This window comes from Homo sapiens, chromosome 7 (genome assembly GCF_000001405.40).
Source record: "Homo sapiens chromosome 7, GRCh38.p14 Primary Assembly".
NCBI classification, from domain to species: domain Eukaryota; kingdom Metazoa; phylum Chordata; class Mammalia; order Primates; family Hominidae; genus Homo; species Homo sapiens.
In genome coordinates this window covers 57,628,545-57,641,279 of record NC_000007.14, presented here as the reverse complement: position 1 = coordinate 57,641,279, position 12,735 = coordinate 57,628,545, and the positions used below count along the sequence as shown (strand labels likewise).

Below are 12,735 nucleotides of genomic sequence, written 5' to 3'. Positions count from 1 at the left end.
GTCAGCATGAAAAATACAAAAATTAGCCAGATGTGGTGGTGGGCACCTGTAGTCCCAGCTACTCGGGAGGCTGAGGCAGGAGAATCGCTTGAACCCAGGAGGCGGAGGTTGTGGTGAGCCAAGATCATGCCACTGCACTCCAGCCTAGGCAACAGAGCAAGACTCCATCTCAAAAAAAAAAAAAAACAAAAACAAAAACAAACAAAAAAAAAAAAACAAAAGAAAAGGAAAAGTATTTGTAGATGAATGAAGGTGACTCCTTTGAATATTGAAAATGATTTTATTGTAGCCATTGGTCTGGCACTCATTCTGATGGGGTGACATGTGTCCCTGCCTTAGCCAGCAGAGCACAGGAGTGTGCTACACCTCCCCTCATCTGAAGATTCAGCCCATGAGCAGGAATGCCTGTCTTTGTGTCATATCAACACAGAGGATGTGTCTGGTTTCACCATTCACTGCAGAGGCAGAAATTACCCAGAAAGAAGAGATAGTCTGTTCCTGGGAGTGTGTCCTTTTGACCCAGCATGGGGGTCATCTCCCTTCCTTGGCCAGGACCCCCAACCTGAACACAGAGGCAGAGAACATGTGAAGGGCTCCCATTCCCAGGTGGTCCAGGGTGCAAGCTCTGAGCCTGTGGTCCTGGTCACTGCCCTTTTCTCCACAGCATGGCTGCCACCATCCTGGGCTGGGGCACAGCGGGGCTTTGCAGAGATCAGAATAACAAAAGCATTACTGAGATGCTGCAATAGGAGACTGTGATACCTTCGTGGGCTGCCAAGGCAGCCTAAGCTATTTCTTGCTGCACCCAGTGTCCCCCCAGACAGCTGTGTGGCTGTCACTGCCTCTCTTGTGTCCATTTTACTTCTCTTCTCCTTCCTGAGCTTCTGCTCTGAACTCTGTCTCTAACTTACAAGAAATCAAGCTCACTGGATTCTGAGCTCTTCAGTGTCAAGGACTGTGTCAGTAGTTCATATCTCTTTCTAGAGATCACAGTTTAGTATCTGGCACAGAGCAGATACTCAGTCAATGCCAAATGATTCATTTGCCAGAAAGCTGAATTTCATCCATAATGCTAGTCAATGCAAATACATTCTGCCAGTGGGGTGTGTTTGTCCTCTGAAGGCGTTTTCCCAGGCTTTGTAAATACATACACGCCATTTAGAAATTTGAATGTCAAAGAGTAAAGGAGCTTAGAAAGTAAACATTGGAGAAGTGTGGGAGGGTGGTGTTATTTGCAAAACATTCCTGGGTCCTTGTGAGTTCTATACACCTTCGATGAGCACCGATTCTGGGCCAGGCCAGACACCCAGCTGGACCCAGGAGATACTGAGGTGAGTAAAGCCAAAATGCCTCCCTTCAGCAGGAGGCAGGCAGTCACACCAAAGTGATAAAGGCACAAAACCCAGAGGCAGCAGAGGAGCAAAGACTGCCTTGTTCCAGGACTCTGTGACCTCAGGGAGAGCTTTCAGAGGAGGACATCTGTGCAGGGCTTGGAAGGATGAACACAAATTTGCCTAGCAGAAAAGGGAGCCAAGGAAATCCTGATGGAGAACAGCTTGGGTGAGAGTGTGAGTCACAGGATTGAGGGGTGCAGGCATGGAACTGGAGGAGCAGAAAGAATGAGGGGGGATAAAGTTGGGAGGTCAGCAGAGGTCAGTCACAGAAGGTTTTGAATCCTGGTGAGGGAGCAGTGGGTGCTGCACAAGGGACATGGACCTGGAGAAGATGCAGTTAGCTTTGAGTGAAGATGGAGCATGCCATCCACTAAGGAACCACAAGATGCAATAGAAATAAGAACCCTGAGAAGCCTGCACAAAGGATGAGAGGCCCAGGGGTAGTGCCAAGAAGGTCCCTGTCAGAGGCCAGCTTTGAACAGAGACAGAAAAGACTCTTGAGGGCCTCAGCTGCTGCAAACCTCCTCAACAAATCATATTTTACCTTCAAATATTTGCTAAAGAATACTAACTATTGGAAGAGCAATGGTCCATTGATAATAATTATTCCCTCACTGTACATTTTTTACAATTCTCAAAATGCTCTGGGTCCAGTGTCTCATTGGAACCCCCATAAAATCCCATTTTACAAATAGGGAAATGAGGCCCTGTGATGTCATGCCGAGGTTTGCAGCAGTTCCAGGATAGAAAATAGGGAGCACTTTCATCTCAGCCCTGGGTATAAGTCTCAAAGTTCCTTTTCTGGGAGGGGATCCTTGAGGCCATCCAGCAGCCCATAGTCTGAGTCTTCTTCTTCCTCCTTGGGCTTCTCCACACCTGTGTCCAAAGCCTCCTTCTCCTCCTTTGTTCTCAGGTACCACTACCAGTTGTTGGGCAGGGAGACCTCCCGCTGCTGCCCATCCTAGGGTGCATCCTCCAACATGGGTGCATTTTGGTTCAGCCAGCACCTACACCACCTGCAGCCCAGGTCTCCTGTGGTGGGCCTGAGCTTCCTCCCTATCAAATGGAGGTGTTTTGGGGTTGCTACCTTTGCTGAAGCCCATGTCCAGGTCATCTTGGAGGTGGCCAAGGGTACAGGGCCCTGGGGACAGGTCAGAGGGCTGCAGGGGCAAAAACCACGAGGATGAGGGGATCTCTAAGTCAGACTGCCTGGATCCACATCCCAGAGACTAGCTGCAAGGCCTGGGGAAGACTGATTCACCTCTCTGGGCATCAGTTTCCTCCCCTGTAAAGTGGGAGGTATAACAGATTCACTCCTACAGTTGTCTCTGAGCTTTACAGCAGGTAATGTGTGCAAAGTACTTTGCACAATGCCTGGCACATGGTAGGTGATAATAAATAGGGTTACTATGATATCATCATCTGAGCTAGGTCACTCATGCACTTCTCCAATGCTTCAGGGTTCCCCTCCATCCCTCACAGGGTAGCAGCAAGGGAAAGGGATGCCCCTGGTCTTGAGGAGCTCACATCTTCTCATTTCCCAGGGGTCTCCATCCAGTGCCCACACATGCCTGGCATGCAGCAGATGCCTCATCCACATCTGGTGAAACAGTGGAAAGCAGGTCATTGTCATGTATTGTTTGGCACAGAGTCTGCAGTAGGTGACAGAGCAGTGATTGACTGTAGTTGTGCCCACCAGTTCCTGTCCCTGAACTTTCAAGGATCAAGAGACCTTAGCAAGTCTAGTACCAGGGAGTGGGCACTGTGTGGTGGAGCAGGAGGCAGGTCCTAAGAAAGGCAGTGGGGTGAGGAGAGGAGCTCTGCCTTTGAGGTCTGGGAGATCCTCCACCAGGACCTCACCAAAGGCCCCAGGCAGGTCATGCCCCTTCCCAGAATCTCTCTATGCTCTTCTGTATAATGGGGCTAGCCTGGAAGAGACACTTGCACAACCATGTTCAGAGCAGCATCATCCACAATAACCAAAAGGTGGAAACAACCCAAGTGTCCATGGATGGACGGACGGATCAACAAAATGCTGTCTCTGCATACAGTGGAATAGTGTTCAGCCTTGAAAAGGAAGGAGATTCTGACACCTGCTGCATCAAGAATGAACCTTGAGGACATTAGGCTGAGCAAAATAAGCCAGACCAAAAAGACAAATGCTGTATTATTCCACTTTTCCAAGGCACCTAGAGTAGTCAAATCCATAGAGACAGACAGGAGAATGGTGGCTACCAGGTCCTGGGGAGGGTGGGGATTGGGGAGTTGTTTTTAAATGAGTTACAGAATGGTAGTGTTACAAGATGAAAAGCATTCTGGAAATTGGTTGCACAACATTGTGAATGTATTTAATGCCACCGAAATGTAAACTTAAACATAGTTAGACAGTAAATTTTAGTTAATTTTACCACAATTTTTAAAATGGGGTAGTTATGCCTGTCTCCTTGTGTTGCTGTAGGATTTCATGAGATAACATATAAGGAACCACCCAGCATGTTGCCTGGCACATAGTAACTGCTCAATAAATCACAACTGGATGCTATTGAAGATAAAGTTATCTGACTTCTCTGAGGCTTGCTCTCTTCAGCTGAAAATTCTCCCAGAATATATTAGATAAGACCCTACTGTATTATACTGGGTTCATAAATAGCACTCCCCATTTTCCCTTCCCACAGAGTGCAGTGAATAGAAGACACTTCTCTGCACCCCAAAAGCTCCATGCTGATTGCGAGAAGGAAATGCTGGATGGAGGGGTTCCTGGAACTACTGTGAGGGGTGAGCTTTCCCCAGATGTCTAGAAATGAGGCAGGGGCCCGACATCTTCCACCCCCACTAAGGTTGCCTTGCAGTTCCCAGCTGGCTCTATACTTCCTAGAAACTTCCACTTTTCTGCCTCCATTACCTCATAGCCCAGTCAGCACCATCATCATCATCACCATGATCGCCATCACCATCCTTACAATCACCAACACTATCATCATCGCCATCACCATTCTTACCTCCGCCATTCTCACCCCCGCCATTCTCACCATCATCGACACCAGCATCTTCTCCATAACTATCACTATCGTTATCACCACCTTCACCATCACCATCCTCACCATAATAATGATTGTCACCCTCCCCATCCTCATAATCATCATCATTATCATCATTACCATCACTATCATCATCACTATCACCATTCTCACCATCATCATCCTCATCATCATCACCATTATCCTCACCATAACTATCACTATTATCATCACCACCTTCACCATCACCATCCTTATGATCACCATCACAATCACCACCATCACCATTCTCACTATCACCATGTTCACCTTTACCATTCTCATCATCATCATCACCTTCATCATCCTCAACATAACTATCACTTCATTATCACCACCTCCACCTTCACCGTCACCATCCTCACCATCATCATCACCACCATCACATTGATCCTTGCTACATGGAACCATGCATTCTGGGTAGGAGGGCTCTTGGGTCAGGGCATCTAACACATCTTGGGGGATAGAAACCCAGCCCCTCAGGGTCTCACAGTTGGTGAAGTAACTGATTCTTGTGAGGTCATGTTCCTCTGGGTGATGTGGGATGTCACAAGACCAATAAATCTGGGCTGAAGCCCATCGCATCACTCCTTTTTTTTGTAAAATAAGCTCCATCATCAGTAGTAATATTGTATGACAGCAGAGAATAAGAACTCAGCAAATGTAAATAATTTGATGCTATGAGAAGCATATGAAGTGGAGTCCATATTCCGATATGCATCTATTCCAGTGAGGGCAATTCTTTACCACTTCCATGAAGGAAGGGAAAAAATATTATTACAACATTACCAGAAATCTGTCTGGTCTAGGCAAGGTAGTTCCTCTTTCCAGGGTCTCAGCATTGCTCATTGTCGGCAGTCAGGGCACTCATCTGGGCAGTAGGCAGCACTGCTGCAGGGAAGTTCATATTATTGGAAACATGCAGCATCTTCTCCTGCTACCATCACCACATTGTCCATGAACGCAATGGGCAAACAATGAGGAATCTGGGAAAAGTTCTCATAACCAGAACATAATCATCCATGTCAGGATATCAGCATTCACCCAACACTACTGTCCAATCAACAGATGTTATAATCTCATCCAAATTTTCTCAGTGGCGCCCTAAATACATTTTTTTTGAACTTTGTAATCCAGGATCCAATCCAGGATTTCCCATTGCATTAATTGTCATGTCTCTTAAGCTCCTTCAACTTCAAACAGTTCCTCTCTTTTGCCCTATTTTTCATAACCTTAAGAGTTTTAAAGATCATAAGCATTTATGAAGGATGTGTTCACCTTTTTCCATCTGATGGGTTTCCATATCCAGACTTAGGTCATGTATCTTTCACAAGAAAACCACAGAAATAATGCTGTGGTCTTCCTAGGACATCACAGCAGGAGGCATATGATCAAGTTTGTGCCAGATTTCTCCACCACAAAGTCATCATTCTTCCAATTGTAATTGAGAAGTATTTCATGTGAAGATATTAATTACACATACACATGAATGTATATTTATATGTAAAATACATACAAAATATTATGTCAATGTCTAACCAATATAAAAGTTATTAATTAGATATGTTTAATTTTATTTCCTACTAAGTCTTCAAAATCTGGTGTGTGTTTTCCCCTGACAGCACATCTCAATCCAGCCTAGCCACATTTCAAATGCTCAATATTCACATGGCTGTGGCTACCATATTTGTCAGGGCAGCACTAAAGCACTAAAGAACTTCTTCCTTGGAGAAGTTCTAAGCTTTCAAAATGTTTGGCAAATACATTTTATAAAATTCTTCAGAATCCATAAATAGGCAATTACACATTTAGTAAGCCATAGAATCCAACATGACATTAAAAATGAATCCCTCGACAAAAAAGAAGGTAGGCAAAATGTTCTTCACACCAAATGGACAAATCAATTATGATTACCTAGCATGCCCATTATTATTTTTTAACATCCTTCATTAATACCCCCAAACCCCATCAACAGGTAAATGAATAAATGCATTGAGGCCTATCTGAACAATGTCCCGATTCCTTACCATTCTTACTTCTTTTGCAAGCAGAAAAGACTCAGTATTAGCAAAGACTATTCGGATAATTTGTTCTTATGCCAGTAGTTGTAATTTCCTGGAGGTCTATGTGATATCACTTATGTACTTCAGTACCTCTCACAAGTACTTTTCCTGTTTGGCCATTTTCTGCAGTATATCCATGCTCTCATTTTCTCTATTCTTTTATTTCTATCCTACACTTTTCTTTCATCCTATAATTCTTTATCCTAAAAATATTAATTTAAGGATAACATCACAAAATAGTATATTTCTTCAGATGATACTCCAAATTGATACCTAATACACAGAAATGACTATCATGGACATAACCCACAACATGTGAAATGTATGGCTCATCCTACTGACATTATAAAGGAAAATTAATGACAACTGAATTTCTAGTCATTTTCCACCCAACCAGTTGCTTATAAACTGGCAAGGAATTGTAGGTATGTACACAGTGGCTATTTTTTGGTGGGGTGTTCAGCAACCCTCCTCTTGAGAGCCCCCCTTTTCTTTGAGGACCATTTCAATGGGCACCAACTAGGCCTGACCCAACCTACCAGCCCCAGCCCTAGAGGTGATCATGATGCCCAGCTCTGGCAAAAGACTCTACCCTTGGATCATAGCAACTGTTTCAGTACTTTTTTTTTGGAATCATCAGGAAGGACTCTTGCTTTTTCTACCACTGTGGTCTGCGAGGACAAAGTAAAGTGGGTTATTTGTAGCACTATCTCTTGCTACAGAGAGAGAAGAGAGTCACCTTCAGAAGGAAAAAATGAGGCTAAAACAAAAGGAAAAGTGTCAAGAGAAAGAAGGAGAACATTTCTTGATGATCTTATATAAGCCCCTGGGTCCACCTATGCATGACAGTGACTTGGGTTAAAGCTCTGTCACTTATAGGACCATTAACTTAAATATAAAATAAAGTATTAAAAGCTATGAACTTTTAGATGAAAATAAAGAAAAAAAAACTTCATAATATTCAATTAATCAAAAATATCTTAGATGAAGCCCCAGAAACCAAATGCATGAGAACAATTAATAAATTGGACCCCATCAAAATTAAGAGCATCTGCTAATTGAAAGATAGTGTTATGAGAACAAAAAAGAAAAGTCAAGGGGACAATACTGGCAAGTCTCATATCTAATAAGGGATTTGAATCCAGAGTATATAAAGAAACTATTAAAATTTAATAATGAGAAAAAAAGCAAAGAAAAAAAACAAAAAAAGAAGCCAAAAAAAAAGTGAACATACACTTTACCAAATATATACAGATGGCATGTAAGTACATAGATACTAAATGTTATTAGGCATTATGGAACCACAATAAAATACTATTGTACACACATGAAAATGTCTAAACTTTTAAAAGAAGGCCCATACAAAGTGTTGGCAAGAGTGTGGAATTCTTATATACTGCTGATAAAAATATAAAATGGTACAACCATTTTAGCAAACATTTTGACAGTCTCTTAAAACTAAACCTAAACCTATTAGCTATTGCACTCCTAATATTTACTCAAAGTTATAGGAACTTATGTACATGAATGTTCATTGCAAATGTATTTGTATAAGTCCAAAACCGGAAGCAATGCAAAAACCCATCAACAGGCAAATGGATATGTAAGTTGTGACCGATCTGCACAATAGAATACTACTTAGTAATAAAATTAATGACCTATTGATGCCTGCAATATAGCTGAATCTCAAAATAATTATGCTGTGTGAAAGATGCCAGACCCCTCCAAAAAAGGGTGCATACTACATTTCATTTATATAAATGTCTAGACAAGGCAAACTATTTTATAGTGACAGATTGGTGATTGCCAGGGAGAGTGGTAAGGTAGGAAGATACAGAAAGTTTGGGATTATAAAAGGGCAAGGGGAAACTTTTATGAGTGCTAGATATGTTCATTATTTTTATTTTGGTGATGGATTTGCAAGTACACATAAAAAATAACACGCGATGGAAGTAGAAACAGTATTTTTGTTTCTTTCTTAAAAAAGCACAATTTACTTACTAATGGGATGTTTGTGCCTGTTGGGCACACAGCACAACTTTTCAAATCTTAAAATCGGACTGGATCTCAACCACTGGACCTTATTCCTATTCCACACTGACTTTAGCACAATACTTGCTTTCATCGCGGTGATTAACAACACCCACCTTAAAGGTAAAGAAATGCACTTCTAACTAACTACTTTTGAAACTATGAACTGCTTCAGGCTAGTAGTTCTTAAGGTTTCCAGCAAATGTTGCTTTGTTTCCCTCAAAAATTTACAGCCTGGGCAACATGGCAAAACCCCATCTCTACTAAAATTACAAAACTTAGCCAGGCGTGGTGGTGCATGCCTGTTGTCCCAGCTACTCAGGGAGGCAGAGGCTGCAGTGAGCCTAGACCTCACACTCCAGCCAGGGGGACAGAGTGAGACCCCCATCTCAAATACACACACACACATACACATACTCACACACTATCCGCTGGTGCCCCGGTCAGTTAAACACAGCATCTCAGGGCACCTTAGCACACAGTGTGAGCACCATGGTCCTAAACCCTTCAATTAAAAGTGAAACATCTCTGGCTGGATTTTTAGAATATTTAGTTTTTAATGTTTTATATTATATTTATTTTTTATGTTTATTTAATTTATCTGAATACAAGAATCCAGACATTTGGAAGTAAAACAATGGAAAACATGCCTGCAAACACTAATCAGCACAAAGCTCATGTTGCTTTGTTATTATTGAAAGTTTAGTCTTACGCCAAGAAATATAGCTAAGATAAAAAAGATTTTACAATGTCGGTCACTAGAAAAGTATGCCAATTTTAAATATGTATAAATATAAAATATCCCTTCAAATTATTTACTACAGAAACTGATATAACTAAAAGATAAATGGTCTAATCTACAATATAGATTTTAACATACCTTTCAATTACCGATGGAACCAACAGAAGAAAAACCATAAGAGAAAGGGAAATTTGATGAACACAATGAAGAAACTTGACATAAACTGACATATACAGAACATGACACTCAACAACTACTGAATACACATCCTTTTCCAGTGCATGTATCATATTTACCAACATAGATTATATGTTGGAATTTAAAGGGACTCATCACAGAGTGTTCAGTCATGGGATTTTGCCTAAACTTGTCTGGCCTTCAACAGGGTTCAAATACAGTTAAATTCTTATTTCATCTAAAGAGTCCTATCTTTTTATTTGGAAATTTTACCGCAACAATCTAAATTTGCATAACAACTGAACCCAGCCCTTGGAACTTCAAGTTTATTCTAGCCAAAGGCAGATTAAACTGTCTAAGTAGTAATGTCCTTCAAATTGTTGTCCCCTGCTCCAGTAATGGAGCATAGCTCCAAGAAGCTAACAGACTATTTGTCCTTCATAGTATACATTCTATGTTACATCAAAACACGGTATAAAGCCTTGAAATCAGCAGCAGAGAGAAAATGAGATCAACAACCATCTAGCTGTGACCTCACTACTTAGTAATTACGCTTTTAGCTGACTCCTTTACTTGATTCCTAACTGCTTATTTCTGGCAAGGGAGCACTAATCCCTGACCAAGCTGACCTTTTAAGAAGTGAGCAGAATGAAAAAGCTCTACCACCAGTGATCAGTTTAACAAGCTGCAACACTAGTCACTGGCTGCAACTCTAGTCACTGGCTGCAACTCATATTGTGGGTTTTAAGAGCTCAGAATTAACATGGAAATACTATTGACTCCAAAAGAAACCCAGAAATCTCTGGGAATCCAGCAAAGATAAAAAGGGTCCTCTCAACAGTCACCACTCACACTTTGCTTTGTTTTGGTAACTATTTTATTACATATGGAGAATATCAAAAAAGTATGCCTTTTCCTCATTGTTAATGCTAACCCTAAAACGGTAAGGCTCTTGCAGGTTGAAACCCCCAGGCTCTCACTGGCCCTTCAACAGAAGGCAGTGAAGTCACCTGCAAGAGTGATCACCCAAAAGCTTCCAGGCTGGACAAGTTGGGACTCAGTTCTTGCAGTTCCCAAATTCACAGTTCTCTTGGGACATGGTTATTTATGAAGCTCCTGAAGATGAGAAATTCCACCCAGGAAATTATGTTTATAAAAGATTATTCACATCTAATTATCTCAGGAGACATTAACACAGCAATGTTGAAAATTTTCCATTAATTGTTAATCCATGGAGAAAAACTGAACAATTATTTTTTAAAATATGAAAAACTTCATATGATACAAATTATACTCCCACATGTGATTCAATTTCTATTCATTAATGCCGGAGAAGTTAATAATTACGAATTGTCAGTGGTAAAAAAAAATAAATCATTCATCATTGGAGAAGGCAGAAGGTTTAAAAGAGATAAGAATTGGTTTTTGGCTTTGGGGTGTTTTATGCTTTCCGAAAGGTTTTGCTCTTTTTTTTTTTTTTTTTTTTTTTTTTTGCTCATGGCTTTCTCTCTGTGTCTCTCTTTCTTTCTGATTTCAGTTTCTTTTGATTTCTCCTGCTTAGAAATGGTAACAGAACTTTGGATGTGGAACGTGCAGTAGGAGTTACACGAAGTGCGGGTCTGCACTTGGGGTGGTCAGCACGGCGGATGCCCAGCAAACGCACTGCCTGGTCCACATCCCGGAGTGGTCTCTACGCCCCAGTCGGCATCGCAGCTGATGGTGAAACTTTTGGTGTGGCAGAAGAGTGTCCACAAACTTTGGAAGGTATCCGCTGCCTCCTCCATAGCCGTGTATCCCTGCCGAGGGTGATCATCTCGAGGAGCGGAAAGTCCTGCTCATGGGCCAGGGCTGGCTGGCTGGAGCCACTTGCGCGGCGCAGCCCTGGCGGAGGTTCAGGCGGTCCCGGTGTCGCAAGCGGCTGTGAGTGATGCCTCCTTGGGGCCGGAGGGGTCCCAGGAAGGCTCCAGACCAGGGCTGACCAGCGGGCAGCATGGTGGCCGCGATGGAAGGTGACGGGGTTCGCAACGCCAGGGGACCCAGCAGAGCCCGAGCCCGGGCATCCCGCATCTCCAGCAGCACCCCGGGTAGGCGCTGGTGACGTGGCGGCCAGTGCACAAGGCCCACGACCCAGTCCCAGAGGCCAGCCCATCATCAGCTAACTTCAGGAATCCCGGGCCAGCTGAGGCCCCGGGCCCCACGGGCAAGACAAAAGGCAGAGGGTCCGCAGGCAGGGCCGAGAGCAGGCAGCCCAGGCCTGGCTCCACCGCCGCGGAGCTCGCAGGGCGCAGCAGGCACCGGGCAGCGACCAGGGCTTCCAGAGGAGGCTGTGCACCCCCGCAAAGGCTCCTGCCCAGCGTCCAGCCTATCCGCGGGGACTCCACGTGCACCCCCTCCTCATTGTCCTTGTCTAGGGCCTCGGCAAGCTCCTCGCTCCCATGGCGTGACTTCAGGGGCGCAGGAGCCTGGGCTGAGCAGGTGGAGTAGGGTGAGCACCGCCAAGAACCCAGTGAGAGTGGCGCCCCAGGGCGGCACAGGAGGCCGCATTTAACGTGTCAATCATCTCAAAGATATTATGGCATCTTCTTTTTTTTGACATCTTATAATATCTATAATGTCTATTATATCTTGTGATAGAATTATTAACACCACTTCATTGTGATTATTATGATTATTTTTATACCAACACATCTTCAATTATTAATATTCCCAGTTGCTAGAGAAAAATGAAACGACTAGTTTTGAAAGCCTTACTTCTGCCAATGGAAGCACATTCCAGCATGTCGCCAACGCAATCCATTTTCCACCACTTTCACAAGAAAAGTTACGGCACAATTATACTATCCTACCCTTATATACTTTTTGTGCATGTGTACTTGTATGTATGTATGTTATATATGTTTTATATATATATATATATATATATATATATATGTAAAATACGCCACAGATGAACAAGGATTAGAAAATTAAATGCACACAGGTCATGTCAGTGCTATGTATAATGTGGTGTACTAAGTATAGATGTTCAACAGTGTGGGATCCAGGCTGGGACAAGACTCCTAGTCTTAAGCAATTCTTTCTAGGTTCAGTCTCTGGAAATAATGCTTTGTATCAAATGTGCGAGAAAATTAATGGGTTTTAAAGACTATTCTATGTCAACTATAACATTTCCTTTGGGGATTTCTGTCCCTTATAATATCTACCTCATTTTTGAGGGATTCCTTGGGGCCTGGTTTTTCTTTTCCTTTCTACACATCGCTGTTCAGAGTGAT

The 12,735-nt window shown here is 42.8% G+C and overlaps 2 pseudogenes, besides 1 other annotated feature; both read right to left on the bottom strand.

Moving 5' to 3' along the window:
• Positions 2,168–2,555, bottom strand: BSNDP4 (BSND pseudogene 4; annotated as a pseudogene).
• Positions 3,997–4,498: an enhancer, noted in NCBI's record as "NANOG hESC enhancer chr7:57696488-57696989 (GRCh37/hg19 assembly coordinates)". NCBI's record gives its function as "activates a minimal SCP1, AML or CMV promoter by ChIP-STARR-seq in naive H9 embryonic stem cells {active_cell/tissue: H9 hESC(naive)}" and the evidence as "EXISTENCE:reporter gene assay evidence [ECO:0000049][PMID:30033119]".
• Positions 11,079–11,995, bottom strand: LOC100420545 (abhydrolase domain containing 15 pseudogene; annotated as a pseudogene).